Source organism: Homo sapiens, chromosome 2 (genome assembly GCF_000001405.40).
Source record: "Homo sapiens chromosome 2, GRCh38.p14 Primary Assembly".
Lineage (NCBI taxonomy): Eukaryota > Metazoa > Chordata > Mammalia > Primates > Hominidae > Homo > Homo sapiens.
The window spans coordinates 176,743,402-176,769,597 of NC_000002.12; the positions used below are offsets into that span (position 1 = coordinate 176,743,402).

Genomic DNA, 26,196 nt, shown 5'->3' on the forward strand with positions numbered 1-26,196 from the left:
TTCACTAATAACAGACTGGAAATAGCCAAAGCCATCAAATATCTGTAGCCAAAGAGCTCCACATCCACGTGTCAAAGGAGAAGCAGATGGGTCAACCTCCTTTGTGACACAACTTCCCAAAAGTACTAAAATAATGATTCATTTTACAGACATGAAAAACATAGCAGGAAATGGAATAACACAATTTTAATTAGAAATATTCAGATTTACTCTTAATTTAATTCAGCTGCCCAACAGCCATGGTTAGATTTGCATCATGATGTATTTTCGATACTATCTATTTTCATAAATGTAAACTTTCCTGAATATGCTTCTGATGGATCCTGACATTTTAAAATATGTCCTATTGTCCTTTTCTGTGCAGTAGACCAAGCATAGAGTGTTCACTCCTATATCATTGTCACTGTACTATCAGACCAGATGGCTACTTCATCACAGAATCAAGAATTAGGAATAATTTATGCTGTTCCTTGCTCTAGAATATGAAAATAGAAAGCATTTGCTGCACACATACTCATGAGGAGCAGCTTGACCCAACAGTAACAGCCTCATCGGAGGACATTTGGTGCTGTGGCTGCACCATCTTCAGGAACTGGATTTCGTTCTATGGAACCCTAAGCTCTCAGGTCATGGAGAAAATTATTGAAGCATGTGAGTCGATGCTTCACCTAGTAATCAAATTAAGCCCAGAGAGCCTCTTTGTTGAGGAAAACAAGTTGCAATAAAACAGTTCTAAAATGGGAAAGATTATATCTGAACCTTTCATTGTTTCATATTCAAGGATTTCTCCCCTTCATAGGAAAAAAATTACGAATGTTGGCTTAATATTCAGAGCAGTTGTTTTTGTGTCTGTGAACATTAAATGTTAGAAACGGAAGAGCTATTTATCTTCAGCTGGCTGAAGAGAACAGTGGAAATTTTTCTTTATTGGTCTATAAATAAGCAAAGTCTGAACACACCCTTTATTGGGAGAGGGAGTCACGGCAACTCATTCCACATATCAACTGGCTCGGCAGGATTTCTGTATTTGATATGGTCATAAGCATGCAGCTAGTGACATAGACAAAAGGTTGTCCTCTCAAACTATCAAACACATTTAGCCCTAGGACCAACTAGTACTCCCCAGAAACTAGTATTTCCCTAGAAAGAAAAATGCATATAAAATCATAAGCATTTCTAACAGGTGTTATTGTTGAGAAAAAGCTAGAGAAATCAGCGACGTATCACTTAACAAGATCAAATGAATGGCAGTTGGTTTCTTTGTAAAATCATTTATTATCAACAAAGAAATGTGAGGCACTTGGGCTTTGTTTACATAGTGCCAGAAAAAGGTGGTTAACTCAGTAGAAAACAAGCAAACACCTCCCCCAAAATATCAGTTAAGATGCCTATTTGAATTCTACAAACCAAAGATCGGTTGCATTAATTTTTTATTTATCAATTATTTGTGGTTGTGAACACGTAGGAAAGCCATTGAAAATGTCTCAACTAAATGGGCAATATATCTGTTCTTCCTATATGAATCTGTTTAATTTGTTCATGTATATTAACTTTTTCAGATTAGATAGCCCACAAAAACAGACAGCTGCACTAGAGGAATTTAGTTATGTAGGCAAAATTAAAAGGCTATCAGTGTGAAAAGTGAGAACTGACAGAAAGCCTAACAAATTGGAAAGAATAACAGGCAGCTAGCAAGAATCACATTCCCTTTCCAAGAAAGGAACTCTTTCTGCCTGTTCCCTGTACGTGATTTGAGGCTTATACTCATATTAATGATAATACCTCTTCCATCAATATCTTGGATTATTACCAGTGTCTGGGAGAAATTTTATTGGCTGCCGCAGTTCACTGAAAATTAATTGATATGACACACTTACTCTACATGAACTTGGAAAAAAGTCTATGGAGTGAGTGATTTAATTCATTTTATGTTAATTATAAATTATGCCAGGAAACACTATTACGGATGGACTTGTTTCCAGCTTACATTGCATGTGTGAGCAGTTTGTACTTCCGACATGCTGAATACCCTGATTTTGACTGACTAATACCTTAGGAAAGGCATTCATTTGGCATTCTCACTAATATTTGCAATGTGGCATGTCCTTAAACAAATTAGGCCAGGAGGAGGCAGCAAAATGGCCCACTTATCTTTATTTGTAACTTAACCAACATTATGGGAGACAACATCCAAATTGGGCAATTTAAAACTTTTACTTACTTTCTGTATATATGTAAATAATCTCCTGAGTGTTTCAGAAAACTGAAAAGGAAGAGGGTGGAGGTAGGGTGGGGAGTGGCTGCCAAATCAAGCTGAAAATGAAAGATGACTTTAGAAAGAGAATGCAGAGTTGCTGGTGGCACATTAAGGTGGTATGCTGAAGAACTCTTTATTTTCATTTCCTGTTTGATAGTGCTGATGAGTAGATTCCTCTCTATTCTCCCTCTCGGTGAGCGCACACTAATACTTTTATTAAAAGGAGTCCATCAGAATGGGGTAGTTGTTATGCAGGAGCAGTAGCTCACATAATGGGGGATGGCATTTCTTTCCACTCGTGCTGGTCCGCTGGTTCTAATAGCAACCTGGAGCTCAATTTCCTCCTCAAGAACATTGCATTTCATGTGGAATGTCAATTATTAAAATGCAGTGTCCCGTGTCTTACTTCTCAGTAGATGAATTCATTTGCAAAACTTGCTAATTTATGCAAATGATCCTTAACCTGTAACTGCCTGGAACCTATTTTAGCATTTCTAGCAGCGTTTGGCAGCTCGGAGCCTAGATGCGGGAAGGAAATCCATTAATGCAGAATTCGTCAGTTCTGTCATCATTATATCGGTTATTGAGTTGTTAAAAAAAAAAAAAAACACCAACAACAGATAAAAATGTGTTATTAAGTGGAAGCCAGCTGACAGCTAGAGCTGAAAAATCTAGAGATTAAATTAAAGATAAACCAGGATGAGAGGATCTGATACCTGCATCTCCTGACACCCCTGAGTAATGTTAGATGCTAATGACCTCTTTTCTGGAAGAAACTAACTGGTTAATAACCCAAAGAGGGTCTATCAGCTACTGACTAAGACAGATCCAGATAGAGAGCAGATAAGAAATTTCTTATTGGGAGTAAGAGCCAAATTGGCCTGGGTTTTAGTAAATGCAACACACAAAAGGAACTGTATACAGTTTTTATTTTTTAGTCATGGTTACATGAAAGATGAGGCAGCAAAAAATGGGATGCCGTCAAGAAGGGGGTTGGTGTGTGTGCGTGCATGCACGCATGTGTGCTTGTGCTTGTGTGTGAGAGCATGAGGCGGTACAAGAGGGCCCGCTGGTACTTCTGTGTCTGAATGTGTGTTCCTACAGGTACCTCATACATCACATATCTCGCAGCTTTCCTCTGAATCGGTTGAGCTTTGTACATCAATGGGGCTGTATTTTAATCAATAGTTTGGAAAAGACATACTACAATTTTTACCCCCCGTAGCCCTCACGTACTGTGACACAGTCACTTTTCAGGAACCATGTTGAAAAAGGGCTTTCTGCAAACCTCAGAGCTGCAGGTCAGGAGGATTCAGATTTCTGGCCTGGCTTCTGCATCCACCGGACCTATATCTATCATTTTTTTTTCCATGTTCTTCATTCTAGCAAGTTTACAAAGGCCAGTGAGCAGACTGATTTAGATTTAAATTAGCCAGGAAAACTTGACAAGGGAAGCAGTGTGTGTGTGTGTGTGTGTGTGTGTGTGTGTGTGTGTGTGTGTGTGTGTTTGTGTGTGTGATGCACAGGTGAGCTCTAGTCTGGACACTCAGCCTGGGCCATCAATGCAGACTCTACCAAGCAGCCCCTCTGGTCTCCTGCACCTCACTGGCCACTGGCCACTGTTTTGGGGGATTTCCTTTGTTCAGCTGAGCATGGCCTCTGACTTACCTGAATCCATGCTGCACATACACAGTTACAAGCTGCCCGCATAACCCGATCTTCTGACTGCTGTATTTTTGTATTTTTTTTTCTTTGCAACTATTGGTACACTTGAAAGCGGGTAGGGGCATTTGTTGTGGATATTGGGATGAATTCTTTCAACTCCTCAATGGATTCCAATGAAAGAGGAAAAAAAGAATCTGCCCTTGGTAAAATGGACAATTGCCACTTCAAGGAATCTGTCCAAGGTCCGGAATATCATAAGAGAGTACATATTTAATGGCTCACTTTGCTCCTATTTCTTTCAGAACTGTGTCTCTTTAAATCTACTGAGGAAGATATTCCTTCTGGCCCACAGGATGCCAAAATGACTTGATGATTTATTTATGCAGCACTTGGCAGCCTATAGTCCAGATTGTGGCTGAAGCTGAATTTTATGAGCCTTCCCCTAGTAAGTGTATTTTAAAATTATATTAAAAGTATATTTTTTGAAAACCTCAGTCATGTTTGGCCCAGCCTCGGGCCCTGAGAACGACGGTGATAGGACTAAGGAATTAATATTACTAAGGACCTGGCTGGTGAAATTTTTATTGTGAGAGCTTAGAAGAGTGTTAAGCTTTCATTTGGGGAAGGAAAAAATTGTATTCAAACGTAAATGCTTTAGTGATATCAAATGTGACCTTTCCTATTTGTAGCAATTCATCTGGTCACTCAACGGCTATTTTATTGGGCTTCTCACCATGTTCCAGGAAGTATTCGAAGCCCAGGGGATTGTGGTGAAAAAGACAAGCACTGCTCCGTCTCCCCTGGAACAGACATTTCAGAGGAGGGAGGTGGATGATAAACAGGCAAGTAAATACTGTAGCTGAACAGAATGGTTTCAAATCACAATAAGTCCCATGTAATAAACACACAGACTGTGTCACAGGACTTTGAGCTGAGAACCCCTTGAGGTGCAGTGACTTTCCATGTTTGCCTGAAAGGATAGCTTCTTTATGTTAAATCAGAAAAGCAGGGTGGGCACAGTGGTTCATCCCTGTAATCTCAGCACTTTGGGAGGCTGAGGCGGGAGGATTGCTTGAAGCCAGGAGTTGGAGACCAGCCTGGGCAACAAAGGCAGACACTGTCTCTACAAAAAATTTAAAAATAGCCAGGAGTGATGGTGTGTGCCTGTAGTCCCTGAGGTGGGATGGGGAGTCATAGGGGGCAAAGGCATGGGAAGGAGGATGGCTTGTGCCCAGGAGTTCAAGGCTGCAATGAGCTAGGATCCTACCACTGTACTCCAGCCTGAGCGACAGAGCGAGACCCTGTGTAAATAAAAAAGAAAAGAAGAGGGTCTAGCAAAACAATTCCCTGGACAATTTTACTTCTGCAAAACCCAGCCCAAAAAGAAAATGTGTTGTGAAGTTCAAATGAAAGAGTTTAGACCAAGAGATGAGTTGATACCAAGGTGGTCAGGCAATGTAGTTCCAGGAGCAGCTTGTAGTTTGGCATCGTGCGTTTAAACTTTACAGGATCAGTGATTAATTGTTGTAAGGAGGCCCAAGTTTACAAAGCCTGAAATAAGGCCACAGGGGCAGGGTTTTCATTGATGGGTAATAAAAAATGACACAGCAAGGATAAGAACTTAAAATCCTGGGCAGTCTTCATTGAGAATTCTTCATAGTAATACCTCATACTTGCACACCACTTTATGTTTTTCTTTTAAGTACAATTCACATTTTATGGCCTTTGATTTCCACATCAATCCTGTAAGTTATTGCAATCCGCATGTTAGATGAAAGAACTACTTCGTGGAAGAGACATACAGCTTTACAAAGGTAAAACTGGTCTCTTTATCATAGTCAGCTATTCACTCAAAAATGCAGATGTGATACCTCACAATTTTAAAGGAATAATTCTTTGTGATTGCATTGCACTCTGCTTCTGTAGCCAGTTGTAAGTGAAAACCTCTGGTAGTCCATAATTTTGTTCCAAGTTTTACCCCATTTTTATGTGGATTTTTTAAACTGAAGTTATGCTTTCAAAATACAAAAACAAGTACTTAAATAAGCAAATGGGCATGGCAGATGCTTCACGTGGTCCTATCTCCCAAAAAAGCTGCTTAAAACTATGGCTTGCTGTGGAGTCAAGTAGACAAGGACTCAAATTCAAAGACATAGTCTGGCTTTTATTCCTGACAGTGAGATAGATTTTCCTTAATACTAAAACTAAAGGTGAAAAGGAGGCCTGCAATTGTGTCTAAGTCAAGGCCAGAGGATATCAAGGGCCTTGTCATTACTGTTAAAAAACCACAACCAAGAACAATCACCATAATCTAGACCTTTGCTGAAGAACTGCTGGCCGAGGAACAAAAAATTAATAATTCAAATTAAACTCACTTAAATCATTTTGCTATCCCTTTTGGTAAACAAAGACCTTTTCTTAAAACATAAAATTTTAAGGAATTTATCCTTTTTAATGAAAAGATGTGATTATTACCATGTAATATTGATTGAATGTCAAAAGCATTTAATTTATTGGGTACTGGTAATACAGAAAGATAGTGCAGAGAAAGTGAAATTAGACACTTTCCATAAGTGTCTAGTTGTAATTCAACAGATACTTAACACTCTTTTGCTAACATGAATCTATCATCTGTAAACTTTCTAGTGATTACCTTTTTAAAAAAAATTCATATTGTGTAATTTCTTCACAATGTATCAGTGCCCAAGCCTTTTGAGTAAGATTGCTTTCTGAGAGTTATGTGTGTGTTATTGTTTCACTGAAGTTACTTAAGCATAAATTTGAGCCACAATTACAGTTATTTTGTAGTACAAAAGTGTTGGGGCAGAAGGTTCCATCTAATAGGTGTCCCTTTCTGTCCCATACACAGCTACACGCTATGCTGAACCGACTGGTAGGGTAAACTTGGGTGTGGTCAAACCTCATACTCTTGAAAATGTGGAAGAATCCTCCCTGCTCTACTTCAGTCAAGGCTCAAGGTGCCCTTTCAGGGTGATGATAGAGTCTGGACCCCATGTACGCCATGGCTGACACTCGGAAGCAGTTTTGGACAGGCAGGTTCATTTAATTTCAGAGGAGGGCTCCTTAATTCACTGAATGTCTGGATCTCCTGGGGCTTTATAAGAGTTAATCTCATCCAGTGCCAAAGCCCTTGGGGTTTTTTCCTACTGTTTGAGACTATACTTCATTAGTCTCATCCTCTTCTGTGTGTTGTTTCTTTGGTTATTCTAGAAGATCCCAAGTAAAAGCTCCAGGCAGCAGTCAGGAGTTCTAAGCAGGTGACAGTCATAGTATTGACGGAAAGGGCTGGCTTTGGAATCAGCTAGATCTGGATTTGAATCTCAGCCTTACCACTTCCTGTGTGAACTTGGGCAATTATTACACTCCTCTTTGAGGGTCAGTTTCCTTACTTGTAAACAGGAATAATTATGTCAACTTTATAGGACAGTGTGAGGATTAAATGAGGAAAAATAAAAACCAGCACACAGCATCTACTAAGTGCTCAAAACTGCAAGCTCTCTTACCTCTTGAGGACCTTGCCTTCTAAATATATCTCCATCTCATACATCACTTCAAGTCACAGGTATACAAGTGGTTTTAATGACTCAGTTTCATCTGCTGCATATTTCGTCTAAAATTTCTAAGTACTTCACTGCTACAGTGAAGCCTTCCTCTTATGCCATCCTTGGATTTCTTGCTCTAAAGCCATTGTATAAATGAAGACGTATAGAACAATATTAACTCCCCGCCAACAGGGTTTAAGTGAAACTCATCCACCTTATCCTGTGACATATGGTGTAATGGGGGATGGGCCTCCATAGATTACCCTCCAAGGTGAGATTCAATTCCATTTTGCAGTTAAGACTTGATTAGGATCTTTGGCATGCTAAAGCCACAGTTCAAAAAGTAAAAATCTTGGGCTGACAGTTGCATAGGTTTGTTGTTAATGTCATGGAAAATAATCAAGTTTATTTAACTAATAATTCATTATTTTCCCATCAAGGACAGCCTTGTCACTTTCACAGAGAGGGATTTGGTCCCTTTGAATTAATGTGATTTTTGTAGAGGCAGGATTCTGAATAGACTCTGTGTTTCCTATAGCACAGCCTATTTTCCTAACAGCTATCTAGACAGGATCAGTGTTGTTACTTCGAGAGTTACACAATGGAATAGGGGGGAGTTATAGGTAATCCCTTCTTCTGAACTAGCTTGAAATAAAAATTAAATGGGCCTTGAGCATTTGTGAATTGCAGTGTTTCATTGGGGCCATGGAACACTAAGTGAGGCTCAGAAACAGGGTGTTAATTCAGGCCTAATCATTTAATTCCACTCTGTTATGTGCTGTATTTATTGCCCTCCTGGATCTGTTTTCTATGGCCTGATAAAGAGACAGTGATTCTCCAAAGCTCAGTCAGGGACCATTTTATTTATATCGTTAGTTAGTCCAATAAAAGCACTGGCTTCAGATTCCCGCTGTTATTTTCTGTTTTGTAGCCCTGTCATTAACTATGAAAATGCTGATGGGGTTTTCATCTCCTGGGCTGGAGTTGCTTTGGTTAAATGGGGGCTCGTAAGAAGAGGGGAAGGTCAGGACTAGATGGACTGTAGAAAAGTTAAGTTTGGTGTAACCAGATGCAGAGTGACTGGGAGGCAACTTGGGTTTTAGGAGCAAATACAAGCCTTTCATTATTACGTGTGTTAGTGTGCTGAAAACTTGATTGACACTTTTAGAGCAAACTTAGGGCTTTTAAGATGTGATTCTGTTTGTGAACCAGACGTGTTTCAGAGTTTTTAAAGGTCAAATCTTTCTGCAACTCTTCACAAAGTGAAAATTGTTCTAATTTTGCACAGAAGGTAACAGAATATAGCTCTAAAGTTGTTTATATATGTCAAGCAAAGAAGTGAAAAACAACAACAAACATCAATGGGATCACACATCAGATCCTCTTTTTTTTGAAAATAGTTTTCACTGTATACTTTTATTGTTTAGCCAACAGTCTCTAAAGTGTTAGAGAGTTCCAGAATAAGAAAATGATGATGGGAAACTTGAATTAATTCAAGAGGTCACTTGAATTAATAATATGGCAATCAGAAGCTAACACAGGTGCATTAACGTAACATACTGTGTAATTACCAGTGTTTCCAATGGAGTTAATGGGTAGTTATCCATGTAATAATAGACATTATTTCATAGTAGATATGCAGTTAGCTCATCTCATTGGTGTGTAGAGCACAAATGAAGCAAATCATCATTATTGTTTCAACACTAAAAGATGAAGACATTTTGAGGACTGATGGGCCTCTTTATCAGACATACTATTATATTTTTAAGATGGTCTAAAGCACACATTCAGTAAGTAAATGTGAGAGGCATTCAGCAACTAAATGTGAGAAATGTTAACAGTCAGTAGCTTCCATTCCTATGCTGGTATTTAAATGTTCGGAGCAATTAGCATGGTAGAAAGTTGTTCTGGGGGATGTGGTTGAAATTGCATGAGCAAATTTGCACGGAAGTATACATCAATAACCAAAGTTATCACATTCTCATTGAAAGATAAGAAATGAATATTCATTCATTTTACCAACAAAGATCTGTTGACCACTTTCTATAGGAGATAAACAGCTAACAAGTTAGGTCATGCCTCTACTCTAACTCTCCTAAGTACAGTGAGATGTATCTTTGAATTGCAGGGGCTGGAGGGACTGTGCTATATATGAGGACATCACTTAGTACTTTAGAATTTATGGGTCAGGCCAGGTGCAGAGGCTCACTCCTGTAATCCCAGCACTTTGGGAGGCAAGACGGGCAGGTCACTTGAGGTCAGGAGTTCAGGACCAACCTCACCAAAATGGCAAAACCCCATCTCTACTAAAAATACAAAAAATACAAAAAATAAAAATAAAATAAAAAAGCCGGGAGTGGTGGTGCATGCCTGTAATCCCAGCTACTCGGTGGGGCTGAGGTAGGAGAATCTCTTGAACCCTGGAGGCGGAGGTTGCAGTGAGTTGAAATTGCACCAGGTCATGACAGCCTGGGCAACAGAGTGAGAATTCATCTCAAAAAAAAAAAAAAAAAGAATTTATGAGTCACTTTATTATGCAGTATTACATTTGATCTTCAAAAGAACCTTGTGAAGTAGGAAGGCCAGGTATCTTCATTTTACAGATATGGAACTTGAGCACATGTGTCTGGTTCAAGGTCACTTATCAAGAAAACAGTAGAGTCAGGTCTTCTCATCCCTAATCCAGAGCAAGTCCACTAAATAAAGATTGAGAGAAGCTATATTTAAAAATGACAGATAGCTCCACTCCTGTCCCCGTGAGTTCTAGCCTTTTATGATTCTAGAATAAATGTCAAATCTTGAGTTTTAGAGAGGAAAAGAGCTGGAATTAAAAAAGAAAAGAAAAAGATTTCAAAGATGTGGGGAGTGCGTGGGAGGAGGCTGGAGAGATGGTAAAGGCATTGGAGGCCAAATAACTAAGGGAGGGGAGGAAAGGGTGGTGGCCAGACGTGCAGCACCATGGAGATCAGAGACAGTGCCAGGCACAGTGGGCTTGCCCAGAAAGCTGTGGGAAATATGTATTGAATAGTAAACAGCACCCAGATGGTGGAGGCTCTGACACAGAGTTTACTTGGGAGGAAGTGAAGAGCCACTGACAGTTTGGGACAGGAGAATGATGTCACAACAATGACCTTTTGCAATGATTAGTTTAGTGGTGTGCAAGAAAAAGTAGCTATTGTTGGCAAAGACACTAGAATTGTCCAAGCATGAGAGAGAACCTAAGACTACAAAAGAGAGCATACAGCCCCAAGGATTTAATAATTCTCTGGTGAATTAGAAAAACTATTTTTAAATGTTGTAAAGTATTCAAATAAATCAATCACAGCTGCTCACCCTTCTTGAGAAATAGCTCCAAATTAAACTTGGCTTTTAACAGACATGAAAAGGAAAATTAGGCAACCATCTAAAATCCAGGGCACACCCTATACTTCATAGGGGCTCAATTTGTTTTTCTTATGTTGATGAAAATATTATCTAAGTCAAGCAAGAAAAACATTTCTCTGGGTTGCTAGCTTTTCAGATATCAATATTCTTATTAAAATATAATTTATAAGGTTGCTTTAATTCTTCTCTATTTTAAATGTATAAATGAAATCAAATGAATGCTAAATTTGGAGGTCAATAGGGGATTATTTTTTCCTTTGTGAGCTAAGGAACAGAATAGGATAACAGTAGGAATAAAGGAATAACTTTAGTGTTTTGAATTGACTTTTCTAAAGTCTAGAGTCTTTATTATAGAGAATTCCACGAAACTTTGATATTTGCCAAGGGTCACAATATCAATTAATCTAACATCATGGCTTTAAGCAAAGCAAGATCTGTTATTCCTAGACAGCCTCAGGCTAAATTCTGAACTAAGGTAAATTAGCTTTTAGACCCACCCAATTCCGTAGTATAAATTGTCACACTGGCTGGGTAAACTTGATGAGCAAGTTACTTTACTTAACATCTCTGGGCCTCAGTTTTCTCATCTGGGAAGTGGGGATAATGATAGTACTGCCTGCCCTCACAGGTGAATTCTACAAATGTTAGTCACCATTGAGAATCATTCCCAATCCTCTCTGTATACCCCTGCATTTCGTACATAGTGATCCTGGCCATCAGGATGTTCTCTCAGCAACACTTCATTTTCCCATCATTTGTGCTGCCTGCCCTGATGTTCCAGTTCATCCTACTCAGTGCCGTAATTTTGACTAAGTTGAGAACCTGCTGCATGCCGAGATGTCAATGAATGTTCACATATCTCCTTATCAACTTTTCCAGATATCTTGTTTGCATTTTAACAGGGCTTAAAAGCATTAAGCCAAACAGTGAAAAATGATATTAATTATAGGTTCCTCAATTGGTTAGTGAAGAAGATCATGACAGGGAGAGAGGGAAGAAGGGCCTAAATTGCCCCCACACATAAGGTAGCCTCTGGGGAGAGTCTGAGCTTCTGGTGGTCCCTGAGTGACTCCATAATCAACACCTAATATTGTTGCTGCTCCAGCCATAAGCCTGGCTCCTAGATCCGAGGGACATCAAAGTTGGTCCTATCATCAGGAACATTTTTCTGGTTAATATAGAATGTGCCACCATCCCTCTCACATTCAGCAAACACAAAGACGCATCTTCTAGCAAAGGGCTGCGTTTTGGTGTCTAATGTTCCAGCTACAGTAAAAGCCCACTGGGTCTTCCTCCTGTGTTTATAAACACAAGCATTTAATCCACAGCTATGCCTCCAGTTGCTGAAGAGAGCTGCCCCTGCCCTGCATCCCTGCATAACGGGCTCTTTTCCTCTCAAACCAATTGTGGCACTTGCTTCCTTCGGCCCTGGTGCCTATCTACAGCTGTGCTTACTGAAGTGAGACTATAATTTGCTACAGCATGCCAGAGTATTAATAGACAATTATTTATTGCAAATCTGAACCATTTATACTGTTTACTGGCTGACACAATGTAAAATTTTGATCCAAATGTTAATGTGTCCATGACATTGCATAATTCTGTTCCACGCCATGGTTTTTCTCTTCTAAATGAATCGAATTTGCAGTACAAGGAAATGGCATTTTTAATGGATGAATGATTTACAGCCTCAAACTTACTTATAAGGCTATTATTTGTGTAACTGAGGGAGAATTGACTAATTGCAATAACACAGCAAATTAGACAAATTTAGGATTATACTGGGAACAAATTCATAGGGAGAAAAATGAAAATAACTTGCAAAGTTCTTAAAGGGTAAGTGAATAAATCTCACTTTAGCTTTACAGGGCAATTGTATTTTGGGGGGAGATCAGGTACCTTTGAGGCCAAACAGACTTATAAATATTCAATTGAGTAGAACATAGATAAAAATTACCTCTTCATAAAGAACCATATGTGTAGGAAAGAGCACTTCCAATTCTCCAAATGTTTACTGAAATTGCCTACACAAATGTTTTCAGCAGTTGGGTGAAAACAAAGAGCTTTACAGTTATGTGGTTTTCATGAAAAAGACACCAATTTTAGCATATTTACCTTCTATTTGTTGAGCATGCAACACAATGCCAAGGAAGAATGATTTCCTAATGGAGATCTTCATGATTTTTCAAAATAAAAAATGTGCATCAGCAAAAATAATATTTCTATCTTTCTGAGGTATTCCTCTTAGGCTGTTTATATCGATTCCTATTATTTTTTACCTCTACTCACAGAGAGATTGTTAAGATAAAAAGTGCTCAACACAGCTCTAATTAAGTCTGAGAGCTACACTAGATGTCTAAACACAAGGACATCCAAAATTAAGACTCCTTTCATGTTTTAGTCCATGGGGCTCCCACAAATTAATAATGAGAGAAAACTAATTTGGAGTTACTCCAAAAATATCTCACACATAAAATATTCATGTGCCAGTCCAAATTTCAGTTAACCCTTGAACAGTGCGAGGGTTAGGGGTGCTGACCCCCATGCAGTCAAAAATTGTCGTGTGGCTGGGCACAGTGGCTCACATCTATAATCCCAGCACTTTGGGAGGCCGAGGTGGGGGGATTGCTTGAGGTCAGGAGTTCGAGACCAGCCTGGCCAACATAGTGAAACCCATCTCTACTAAAAATACAAAAATTAGCTGAACGTGGTGGTGCACACCTGTAATCCCAGCTACTTGGGAGGCTGAGGCAGGAGAATCACTTGAACCCGGGAGGTAGAGGTTGTAGTAAGCAGAGATCGCGCCACTGCACTCCAGCCTGGGCAACAGAGCGAGACTCCATCTCAAAAAAAAAAAAAAAAATTCTCATGTAACTTGACTCCCGAAAACTTCACTGCTGATAGTCTACTGTTGACTGGGAGCCTTGTGGAATACATAAACACATATTTTGTATATTACACGTATTATACACTGTATTTGTGCAATAAAATAAGCTAGAAAAAAGAAAATGTTATTAAGAAAATCATAAGGAAGAGAAAATATATTTACCATAAATAGGAGTAGATCATCATAAAGGTTTTCATCCTCGTCATCTTCACATTGAGCAGGCTGAGGAAGAGGAGGAAGAGGAATGGTTGGTTTTGCTGTCTCAAGGGTGGCGGGGGTGGAAGAGGAGGCAGGAGAGGCAGGCACACTCCATGTAACTTTTATTGAAAAAATTCCAAATATAAGTGGACTCTCACAGTTCAAACCTGTGTTGTTCAAGCGTCAGCTGTGTATACAAAATGGCCTTCTCTTCTCTAATGGCAAGACCCTCCCTCCCACTGGCTTTAGTGATTGCTTCCTTGGTTTTCTTTCCTGTTCCCTGCAACCAGTAGCATCCTCTTCGAGTCTGTTCTCCACAATTCAGCTAATGATCCTCTTTCTCAAATATATGCCTTGTCTTGCCTCTCCTCTGCATAAACCCTCCCCAGAAAGATCAGGATAGAGAAATACTTTACCATGGTGTACACAGTCCTTCTAGACTTCACAGCGGATACCTTGCCACCTTCTGTCTTGCTGTTTCTCCCCTTTCTCTTGTCCTCCAGTAATCTCCAGGTGATTTGTAATCCTTGGAAACAGGCTTTGTGCTTATCTCTAATTTCAGGGCCTTTGTGCATTCCTGATCCTTCTCGCTTTGTGAGGCTTTCCCCACCCTCTTTGCTTGGCTCTTACTGAAGCTTCAAGAATGGTTTTGGATGACCTCTTCCTCGGGAAACCTTGGTTGAGCCCACCAGTCAGTCAGCTTCCCCTTGGCTTCCCCTACTTCCCATCACTGTGGTGCCACACCCAGTTTAGAACACTGGGTCTTCAATCACTTTCTCCCCTGAGCTAGAAGCTCCTGGAAGGCATGACTTGTCTTCTTTACTGGGCTTAACCACACCCAGCAAATATATGAGGAATAAGTGAAAGGTATCTTGAATACCTACTTTGTTCCAGGCACTGAACAAGGTCCTGGGGGAATACAGAAATGGTTTGTGTGTGGTCTCTTCTCTCAAATAGAATAGCTTATAATTCAGTAAAGGTTATATAAGAAATCCAGAAATAACAGCAGAATATGGTAAGAGCCACAAGAAAGGCAGGAATTGCTATAGGGTTTCAGAAAATTGAGATTCATTCTTTCTTTAAAAACCACTGTCTTCTCTTTGTTTCTCTCTGTCTCACTCACTGAATCACTTTGAAATAAAGCAGACCTCGAATTAAATCCACATTCAACCACTTATTAACTGTGTGACCTCAGACAATTTATGTAAGCTTCAATTTCCTCATCTGTAAAATGAAGATAATAATATTTACCTTACAGGGTGCAGTGAAGATTAAGTGAGATTGTGCAAAGGGCCAAGAGCATAGAAGACTCAGCAAATGGCGTTGAGAGTATTATTTCAAGGCAATGTGCCACTTGTTCTCTCAGAGCTGCTCCACTGTACTTCAAGTTTTATTACTCGGCATCTCATATTTCAACTATTAAAAAGATATCTTTAGTGTAGGAATCTTATCTACACATGGCAAATAGCTTGTTTTCAAAATAGGACACAATATACTACTCAGTTTTTTCCAATATTGATTGTAAGTTAATATTTGGAAGGGCTTCCTTGCTACTGATAAGCTTGAATTTGGGGCTTTTTGAAATTTTAAGGTTGCAAGGATAGAAACCATAGCTTACACTCCACAGGTTGTCAAAGACTTTTTGCTGAATTTAAATTGCCAAATTTAAAACATCTGATTTATTTATGCAGTACATATTTATTGGGTTCTTGGATAGACCCTCTTGCTGTATCCATCTTTCCTTCCACAGACCTCCATCTCGAATGGAAAAGCATCGGGGGAAATGGAAAGCAGCAACCAACTGCAGCAATGTAGACAAGTAGTGAAGTGAAGCAATGACTGGTTGAAATTGATTCAGATTTTAGTGTCAATTATAGTCCCCATGTCAGAGTAAGGACAAAACACCATTTCTATAACTTATATGATAAATTAAGCCAAGACAATTATCTACTACATTAATACTGGATTCAGGGTTATATACTGGTCAAGAGTTTGGGTTGCAAAATTAGACCTGTATAATTGTGATTTTGTACAAATTACTTAGTCTTTTTAGACTCCAAATTCTTCAACCATTTCATGGGGATTGTAAAACTGACCTTGTGAGGTTGCTTTGGAAGTCAATTGAGATAATGCATATAAAACACTTAACACACACAGAACTCATCGCATGGATATTTTTAGTATCATTTTGAAGATGTCATGGACGTGGTGGCATTTTAAAAAACATTAAGTTAAGGGCACCTGTTTGAGAGACAAGATGATTGTATTATTGTTACTCAGCTGAATGCTTAGTCCATACTCATTGGACAGTGTGATCTTGTATTCCTGCAGGCTGCCCAAGAATGGGGCAGGTGTGAAACATGCATTCAAGAAACAGGGTCAATAGATCTGAAAGTCTTAACTAAATCAATGCAAATAGAAAGTTTGAATTACTACTAAAATAACCAGCTACCACCTTCTGTACATGCAAAATTGCAACATGGAAATATTAATTAAAAAGGAAACATTTTGGGGCTCTATCATGAGAAGCTAGTTGTTTGGCTCAGTCCTCTGCCTTTACGAAAAGCCTCAAATTAGTTTGTGAGAATTTTATTCTAATCTGCAGTCACAGAAACACTCTGACAAGGCTGAAAGAAAATAGACATCAGACAAATTTCAACTCAAGTTCCCATTTTGGAACAAAGCTTGCAGCACATTACATTAAGAAATATTACTTACACATCATTTAAATATCTTCAGAATAATACAGTCATCTTGTATTAAATATTTTGTGTTAAAGGCATTATATTTGTTAATTTTATTCATTGAAAATATGCAAGTTATATAACCCTATTTAGATGCTTCTTCACTTTTCAATACTCAGAGCCTCTCAAATTACAAGTATCCTGGGCCACTCTCTTGACCACTATGGTGTTTCAGCCTTCCCAATGCCTTCATCTAGTTCATGCCTGATTTTGAGCAATGGGGGGAACTATCCCGTATTCATATTAAATATATTTATTTTACTTTCACATCTCATTCAAGAAGAGAAGCCAGAAACAGGAATATATTGTTTAAGAGCCAGTTTTAAATTGTGTCCAATGGAATAATTCCATGGGAGTTGCGTAGGGCTTTGTCACTGATGTACATCAAGAAGAATTCAGATTTTATATTATTTGTTCTAAACCAGAACATTTTACTTATTATTCATAATACATGTTGAAAGCAGACACCAAAATGGCTCATTTGGAGCCTTTTCTTCTCGCCTGCTAATGCACATTAACGCCAGTACACATTCTGTATTATAGATCCATAAAATGCATTTGCATAATATTGAAATTATAATCCCAAATGTGTACTAAAAACCTTTATGAAAAATTGTCACTGCTCAGCTACTATACAGTGGCTAATTTTTAATCTTAGCCTCTCAGCTGCGAGTAAAGATGGGGTGTTCTTTAAATAAAAAATCTCAGGAGTAAGATCCTGGAACCTTAACTCTCCCCTGTTTTAAGTAGGCTGTTTTTAGGGGGAGAAATAGACTATCCAAAGTGCTAAACAGCTGCCTCCATGGTGATTCTGGTATTTTGTGGACTGATGTCTTGAATTTTTAGATTAGGTGAGAGTATCTTTAGTTAACCTGCCTTGTGTCGCCAATGGGATGAGCGAAAAAGCCCTCTGGAGCAGAATCAAAGTGGCTGAGGTGGCAAATATTTTAGCAGAGAATACTACTGGCCACTGCTTCTTGAGTGCCACCTATGTCCTCGGTGCTGCAGTGGACCTTGGAATAAATTATAACAGTGAACCCTCACAATAATTCCGTGAGCTAGCTAGCTGTCCCTGATGGAGACATTGAGACTGAGTCTCAGAGAGGCTAAGCACTTGCCACATCTCTCATTTCTCCAATGTAGACCCTATCTGTTCCATATTCTAACTGCTGTATCCAAGAAGAGTGTTTAATTTATATGTTTGAGTCTTCAAATGATTCCACAACTGTGCTTTCAAATACTTCCCAGAAAGTTCTAGATGAGACTTTCCAAAATTAACATCACAGAGTTACATTTCTACCAGGCCTTTTTGACATATACTTTAATAAGGGAAACCCTGATAAACAGGCTGAATTCTCACCTTGTGCACAGTGGGGTCCAGTCGGAGAGTGGCCCTGCATTTCCTCTGTGGAGCTGGTCATTTCTTGGTCACGGGACCTTCTTGCCTTTTTCCATGGCCCTAGGCAGAAGTTTACCCTCTGTGTGATGTCAGGCAGTTCTACTCAGTTCACCAAATTGTGAAGTAAGGAAATGTTCCCTGGTGCCCTCATACCAGACTCTACCTCCTTTTTCCTCTTCTCTGTCTTCGGAAATGTATAGCTGCAGGAGGGGAACAAGAAAAACATAAGTCAAGCAGGCATGTCCCCGTGTCCCCCACTCTACTCCCACCCTGCACCCTGCTATAGCCATCTGATCCTAGTGGCTTTTTTTAATATAAGAATCAAGGAGGGAACCAGAGATAAGACAGAATGAATTCCCTACCTTATATGGGAGATTTTGGTTTGGAAAAGAATTCCCTTATTTTCTCTTAATCATTTATTTAATATTCATTTATTTGATGTTAATAGATATTATACACAGTACTAATGCCAAAGGTATAATAGTTCTAAAATTATTTTTTATGCTGTGGAAAGTATGTCTCTCTTCTACTCCTTTTTGAAAACATACAAACAATAGCGTAGTATATGTGATATATTGCACCTCATTTTAAAAATGTGTATCTTAGAAATCCTTTTTTACAAGGCCACGTAGAGCTACCTCTTTAACACAGATATGCTATAAATTTTTTAACCAGTCTTCCTTTGATGGATATTAAGGTTGTTTCCAATTATTTGCTATTAAAAACATTGCTGCAATAAATCATGAATCCATAAGTCATTTGGAAACGTATCAATAGATCTAAGAGATACAGTCCTGGAAATGTAATTGTAGGGTCACAGGACAAGCACACTTTTAATTTTGGTAGATTCTGAGAAATTGTCCACCCTAGAGATTGTACCAATTTAAACTCCCTCTCCCCTCAACCCACTAGCAGCAGTGCACGAGAGTCCCTTAGTTTAACCCTTTAGATCAAGAGGTTCTGGTAGGATATGGCTAAGACTTGAGAGAAGGTGGACTTACGGGAAGGTCGGAGAGAAGCCTGGCTTTGTGGACTGAATGTCTAACCTCTTCTCAGGCAAGCTACAAAAGAAAAGGACTAGGAAACTCTTAATAAGACCATTCTATTCATTTCAAAGACTCCGAAATAGTCTCAAACATATGGGTCTCATGTCTGCTGCTAAAAATTTCCAGGAGGTAAATTCCACAGCCTTCTTTGGTAAACTATTTGGCTTCTCACAACTCTTCTGAAAGTCAGGACATTATTCCTGATGTCTAATATAAATCTTTCCTGCCTACATCCACTTGTGGAAAACGTGTGCTAATATTTCCCTAAAGCAATGCAAGTTCAACTGGCTAGATAACATTATGCGCTAATTTCATGGCTAAAGTATATATCCTCCTGTTTTGCTTTAATAGCAGGCATCTCTTAAGTCGTTTTTAGAAACATTTGATGCCCACACAAGGGAACATGAGCCCTTTTATTGTGTCCCATCTTTGTTTTAGCTATGGACTTTACAAAGACTGTGTGTGTGTGTGCGTGTGTGTGTGTGTACTTTACTTTAAAATTCTGTAGTGCCCTCTTGTTTTCTTTTTCTCATATATTATAATCATAGAATTGTGATACCTTCTCATTAAATGCTGATTAACATACAGCTTTCTTAACAACACATTCAATATCACTTCTGCTGAAGGAAACAATGTCTGTAACTGAGAGGCGTGTAGGTCATTTCTGAGTATATCTTTCTCCTGCTGTCTAGATACAATAACTATTTTAGGAACATTTGGCATCCAAAAAATCCCAGCATTGTGCAAATTAAAACATCTGCTTATACTTTGACACTCTCATTCTTCAAAGATTAGTTGGATTTGCGGTTGCTTTGTTCAACAAGCCTGCTCTTAGAGCTCAAGGATGCACATTTAATTATTGGGAAGATCTGTTTGACAGAGTTGTGGGGGAAAAAATCACCCATTATATTCAGACCAGCATTAACATTTTTATAGAACAAGATTGCCTGAGAGTCAAAGAAGAGGGGAAAACTCCAGGAAAATAAATATGAATCTATTTGGTCACTGGTCTTCTACTGATATACAAGACTCCAGCAAACGACTCTTTGCTCTGTTCCCCAGAGCTCATCAGCTTGCTGTTAAACTGGCATTTCTGATTTCTGCCGAGGTGAAAGACAGCAAAGTAAACTCTGCTTCCAACAATAAATAACAGAAGGAGTTTTTCTTTTCATTCAAAAAGGCTTTAGATCACAGCAGACAGCTACAACCAGGTGCATTTAGCTACATTTGTCATTGCCACAAATGCAAAACATGTAAAGAATCTGTGGCAAACGGGTCAAGATCCAGCCTTTTTCTACCTTATTTTTTCATCTGTAATTGTTACCATTGCCATAATGAAGGCCAAGGTGCCAATAGTAAAGCCAGCATCTCCTGATTGGTTTATTTATTTATGCAAGTCATTGACGCTAGGTAGCAGATTGTACACTGGAAGGCTTTCTGTGTCTCAGGCCAAAGACTAGTAATCTCCCTGGGCAATGCCGAGATCACACATGTCAAGAGGCAGCAGTGACTCGCAAGCCAACTCATCACTCACCTCGTCCCATCACTGGCCTGGCCCACTCTCATTGCAGTCTTTTCATTGCCATTCCGAGGGGGCCTACAGACCTTAGCTGTTGCACAGGGAAGAAAGGGATAGGAGAAGGGGGAATGCATAACACATGCAGCAAGAGGGATTTGGTGAGGCAGGAACCAGCAGGTGAACAATGACTCATTTGGAAACATGCAGCTGGGTGTGTGTTATTTGCATATCAGAGACCCTTTGTTAAAGTGGCTTGCCCAGCTGTGTGGGCACATTGGTGGGGGGTCGGGGGGGCGCTGGTCAGAAGCAGAAGATGAATTCTCAGAGAAAACAGAGTGACTTCCTATCTAACTGGTGCACAAGTTGAGGATGGCATGCTCATAGGGGACCTGCTGCAGAAAAGCTGCGTGCTTCTGAGATTTATTTTCCTTTTGCAAGTATATTATTTCCAAACTCGTCTTTTCAAGATCTTGCAAATTCCCTTGAAAAGAAAAGATTCAACAGTTTAAGGAAAACAACAGCAAAACAAAAGCCATGTTGATGAGGGACAGAGATAAGGTTGGGTTTGAAATGAGTGACGAACCTCGTAATGAGGTGTGCAGCTTTGTATATTAAGTGATTTCTCTGTGGTACTTTTCCAGATGTGATGGAATACATTTATTTTTGTGCTCATCTGAACTGAAATAATACAAACGAGATACTAAAAAGATATCATTATGTGCAGAAGTAGGCGAAGAATTTAGAATCCCAATTCTATAAGTTAACAGCTGTGCGTAAAGCAATTCGGAAATGCTTCAAGTCTGCAGGTTGCCTGGGAATCTCTGTCTAGCTCGTATGGACTGGTGACAATCTACGTGTGAATCCTGCATGTTGATAGTTCAAGGCTACTTTATTTCAGGCAGAAATAAATAGCTGGTAGTAAGAAGTCTGTCTCCACCGAAAGCCTGCAGTACAGCTGAATATAGCCACTGCAGTAGTGCCATAAAACGGGATGAGTTTAAAACTACCAGATGGTACCCTGTACAGTGCCTGAAATAAAATGGAGAATTAGGGTGCCCCAAGGTGTGCACAGGAAAGGCAATTACATGAAATAAATGTGCCTTGGGCCTACAGGATGCTCAAGTATGCTACACAGGAGACATACAGTACATCTGGTGAACAGATTTTATCACACACTGGAAAGCCATAAAGCACGCCGTTGAATATCGGAACCCCGTCTTACAATGACATTTTACCTGTGTTGCTATTCAGTGCTGTTTATTTTAAAAGGTGCTGTAATCTCAATGATGTGTTTTAAAAGCCTCCTTAACAATGTTTTCTACTATGTCCCATTTTTGGGGGTACTTTCAATGCAATGAAAATCTGTGGACAAATAGCCACTCTGGTCACACGAGATCTTGTTTTTATTTCATTTATCTCATTGCTGATGTGATTTGAGTAATAGGATTGTACTTGTCAGCACTCCCCATTAGGGAAAATGCCAACATATTTTTAATGCTATTTCCCACCTCTCCATTGTACTGTCTGTAGCTTCACTAGAGTTTCCCTCTCCACCCACTCCTCCTTTTTCTTAACGTTCAAAGAAAATGTGATTTTTTTAGTGGTGGGGGTTTGTGAGGAGGATTTGTTGGCATGGAGCCGTTTCTTGCTTCTTCCTCCACAGACGCAAATCTGCTTTCTGTTTGAAAAAGGTGTGTTTCTCTTCCGTTGTAAAAATGGCTGAGGAACACATAACATTCATTATTGTTTTAAGAGTTGCTGTAATAAAATCCTCTCAGTACTTAAAGATAGTTTTAGTATCCCTCCTAGGATTCATTCTAGCTTTGGTAATTGGGTAATTGCATCCCCTCCCCCACCAATAAATATTTTCACCCAATTAAGTTTAAAACTATAATAAATTTTAAAGAATTATAGTCTAAAAATTCATACCCTAGAACCAGTATTAAGTATGAATATTTATCTTAAGCCATCAAGCAGTGCAGCCTGTTTAGATGCTCCCATACCTTCTGTGCAGCGTCCTAGCTCTCGAGAGCTGCTGCTGGCAGTGCGGCTTCCCCGAGTGCCAGGAAGACGTGTGCCCTTTACTGCCTGTATGGTTTTCAGACAAAGCAATCCTTTACTTTCATGTTCCTGTCCTTCTTTGTTTCCATGCGGCATTATTAATTTGTCCACTCCATTCATTCATTCATTCATTCATTCATTCCTATCTTTAGTAAGTTCTAACTGAGTGATTGGGCCCGTGCTTATGATTGAAGCTGGGTATGGAGAGACGCATAGTTGGACCAAGTGGCTGCCCCGACACAGCCCACAGCTTATTAATACCTTCACTCTCTCCCATTCACTCCACAAACCAATGCATCCAGATACATCTTCCAGGCCTTTATTACAGGTTCACCCTCTGTTGCACAAGAGCATATACTCTCAATGCTAAAGGGCAACTAAATGACACAGGGCACTACCCTCATTGCTCAGATGTGTAACAAATGCAGAGTAGCATCCAGAAGACTGTCCAGGAGTTCACATTTCAAACTCCAGCCCAACAGAGCCAACAGAGATGCCAAACCTCCTGTTCCCTCATGTTGAAAATAGAAATTCAATCACAGCCCCCAAAGCTGGTAGCTTTTGGCAACAGTAACACCTGGAGCTCTGGAGCCAGGAGCAAGGACAAAAGGGCACCACTGGCAAAGCTGAAGCTGAGGTCTGGGAGAAGGGAAAAGTGCAGCTACAGCAAGAATGAAAGAGGAATTGATGACTAGGAGAAGAAAGAGAGCCAAAAAGAACAAATCAGTAGGCCCAGCTGGTGGATGAGAAGAGGGTGGACCCTGGACTCTGGGGCTCTGTTGGGCACTGACCTGGTCTCCCCACCACCATGGTTTTCCTCAGTTCTGCTGCCTTCTTTCATCCACTTTGTCCACTTCTCCTAAGCCAAACCATCCTATCCTGCTGCCCACAAACGCCCAGATCTGTTCTTCCCTGATCACCCGCTCCACCTCCACCATCAAGGCTTAACCATCTCTGCCCCATTTCCACCCATCACCTTTTAGGAAAAGAGCCTGGCAGCATTGCATGCCCAGGTGGTCATATTTCAGATGACACATTGTGAAAACACAATGACATAGACACATAAAAACAGTGATGCTGAATCTCTAGGTAATGTGGTTTTGGGTGCTGAGCTCTATTAATAAAGAATATGTCGGCCGGGCGCGGTGGCTCACGCCTGTAATCCCAGCACTTTGGGAGGCTGAGGCGGGCGGATCACGAGGTCAGGAGATCGAGACCATCCCGGCTAAAACGGTGAAACCCCGTCTCTACTAAAAATACAAAAAATTAGCCGGGCGTAGTGGCGGGCGCCTGTAGTCCCAGCTACTCGGGAGGCTGAGGCAGGAGAATGGCGTGAACCCGGGAGGCGGAGCTTGCAGTGAGCCGAGATCCCGCCACTGCACTCCAGCCTGGGCGACAGAGCAAGACTCCGTCTCAAAAAAAAAAAAAAAAAAAAAAAAAAAAAGAATATGTCAATGATAATATTCAGTTGGTGAAAAAAAAGATAATTAGAAAAAAAACCTTTAGCTTCTAAAACCCTATGTCAATAATTTCTGAGGACGTCAACAGGGAAGTTGTTTTTAAAATTCAGGATCATAATACCTGAAAAGAATCAGAATCTAGTAACTTTTCTTCTTCAAAACCTTTCTGATGGGATTCTAGGTGGGGTTGTTGGCGATGGTGGCAGTTGGGGTTCGCCAAGAAGAAACGTCCAAAAAATTGAAGTTCAAAGCTGAGCTGAAGCTAAAATCAGTCTGGTATTTGGCTCTTTATATCATACACAGAACTGGTCAAGAGGATGGCAATCATAACTTCATTTTATTTACTCTGAAATATTTCAGATAACTTTAATTAGTTTCAAAGATGTTATTTGAAGAAATAAGAGTAATACATGTCAGAAAAATGGTCTAAGTGAAGGGCAGGAAAAGATGACAGGGAAGAATTTGTGAGAAAAGTCTTTGTGTCTGTATTTGCTTTTTACTATATTCAGATTTTTCATCAGTTCTTAATCAGCACTATAAGCAGAAGTTGCAGGCAAGGGCAGGAGAATGGCATTGGTAGTTTTAGGGAAGCTATGAGGGAAAAGTGTGTGGGGGAAGGAGTTCTTGGTATGAACTGTACAAGTTTGTTTCAATGCTGTTTCTCCAAGGGCAGGTTGGGCTACAGGTGGCTGCTTTCTGGCTGATGCCAGTTGGCATGTCACCTGCCCTGAGGGTGGAGTTTTCAGAAGGAAGGGATCAGACCAGAATCAGCCAAGGTTCCAAGGAGCCTCCCCTAGATGGATACAGTCTGAACAGGTGTGGAGAAAGGTCGTTTCCATGGCAGCTGTCACTAGGCACTCTGCCAGGGAGGCTGACTAGCACTTAGTGGACTGGATGCAAGATGTCAGCATCTCCAAACTACCCTGCTGTATGAACAATGTGTGGGCAGCACCCAGCTTCCAGCAAGCAAGGCTTTAGAGCATGATGGGTAAAAAGAGAGTGAATGCACCGAACTCCTGCTGCTGTTGTTTCCCAGCTGTGCAAACTCGGACAGGTTATTTTATCCCTTTAAGCCTCAGTTCTCCACTCTATAAAGTGGGCATGAAAACAGTAGTGCTTTCCTTATAAAACCGTCATGAAGAATCAATGAGATAATCCACATAAAAGTACATGGCCTGGCTTACAGTAAGGACTCAATCATTTTTAGCTATTCTTACAAATAACAACTCTGTAGGCAAGGATGAATGAACTAGAGCTGTAGAGAGGAGCAGAGGGAAATGAGACTCTCTTTGGAGCATCATAGAAAAGCATCAGAAAGCACATAAAAGAAAAAATTAGGGGAAGGCATAGTGAGGGTAGAGGACATACAGGTGGTGAGAAATGAAATTAGATTGGACTCACTCTTCACCTAATATCACAAGATTTTCCATCACTAAGGATCCTCAGCCAAGGGATGGGAATCTTTTGGGATAAGCAGAGGCAAGTGGTGGGTGTGGGAGAGCAAATCAGAGACCATTCTAGAAGTTGGCCTGGTGGCAATAAGTGACGAGAATTGCATGGGTGCTTACCCAGTAGCTGTTGGGTGTGGTAAAAGGTGGGTCACAGCTGTTATGCTACATGTAGATATAAAGACAGAGGAAGTGGGGAAAGGGGCCCTGCGGGTAAATGTTGACTATTAGTGTGGAAACCAAAGTCAGGACAACCTGGGTTGTGACCCCAGAGATTTTGCCAAAGCCAGTTGAAGGTCTTTAGACACCAGAGGTTCTACAGGGTCTCAACATGTGATGGTACAAACGGGAAGGTTTTGTGCTTGTAGAAAAGTGGTGACATTGAGGAACAAAGAGAAACCTGTTCATAAGGCCTTAAACAACATCACATGCTGGTATTCGTTTTTTTAAGGTGACAGAGTAAAATACAGTAAGGGCAGGGATATAAGAGGATGTTCTAAGCAGAGGGGAATAGGAATGAGCTGAGATGCTTTCAGGAAACAACAGGAAGTCTGGGGGTGGGGAG

The 26,196-nt window shown here is 40.1% G+C and overlaps 1 long non-coding RNA gene across 1 annotated transcript, besides 4 other annotated features; it reads right to left on the reverse strand.

Annotated features, from left to right (window-relative positions):
* Positions 2,311 to 2,420: an enhancer, noted in NCBI's record as "active region_16792". NCBI's record gives its function as "activates an Ori minimal core promoter by ATAC-STARR-seq in GM12878 lymphoblastoid cells {active_cell/tissue: GM12878}" and the evidence as "EXISTENCE:reporter gene assay evidence [ECO:0000049][PMID:35858748]".
* Positions 3,392 to 3,893: an enhancer, noted in NCBI's record as "NANOG-H3K4me1 hESC enhancer chr2:177611521-177612022 (GRCh37/hg19 assembly coordinates)". NCBI's record gives its function as "activates a minimal SCP1, AML or CMV promoter by ChIP-STARR-seq in naive and primed H9 embryonic stem cells {active_cell/tissue: H9 hESC(naive and primed)}" and the evidence as "EXISTENCE:reporter gene assay evidence [ECO:0000049][PMID:30033119]".
* Positions 3,894 to 4,393: an enhancer, noted in NCBI's record as "NANOG-H3K4me1 hESC enhancer chr2:177612023-177612522 (GRCh37/hg19 assembly coordinates)". NCBI's record gives its function as "activates a minimal SCP1, AML or CMV promoter by ChIP-STARR-seq in primed H9 embryonic stem cells {active_cell/tissue: H9 hESC(primed)}" and the evidence as "EXISTENCE:reporter gene assay evidence [ECO:0000049][PMID:30033119]".
* Positions 9,999 to 19,162, reverse strand: LOC101929963 (uncharacterized). Its single transcript, XR_923598.3, has 4 exons — positions 19,099 to 19,162; positions 18,059 to 18,297; positions 13,919 to 13,978; positions 9,999 to 10,181 (listed from the first exon to the last, which is right to left on the reverse strand). It is a non-coding gene; the product is annotated as an uncharacterized LOC101929963 (long non-coding RNA).
* Positions 25,744 to 25,803: a silencer, noted in NCBI's record as "silent region_12141". NCBI's record gives its function as "represses an Ori minimal core promoter by ATAC-STARR-seq in GM12878 lymphoblastoid cells {active_cell/tissue: GM12878}" and the evidence as "EXISTENCE:reporter gene assay evidence [ECO:0000049][PMID:35858748]".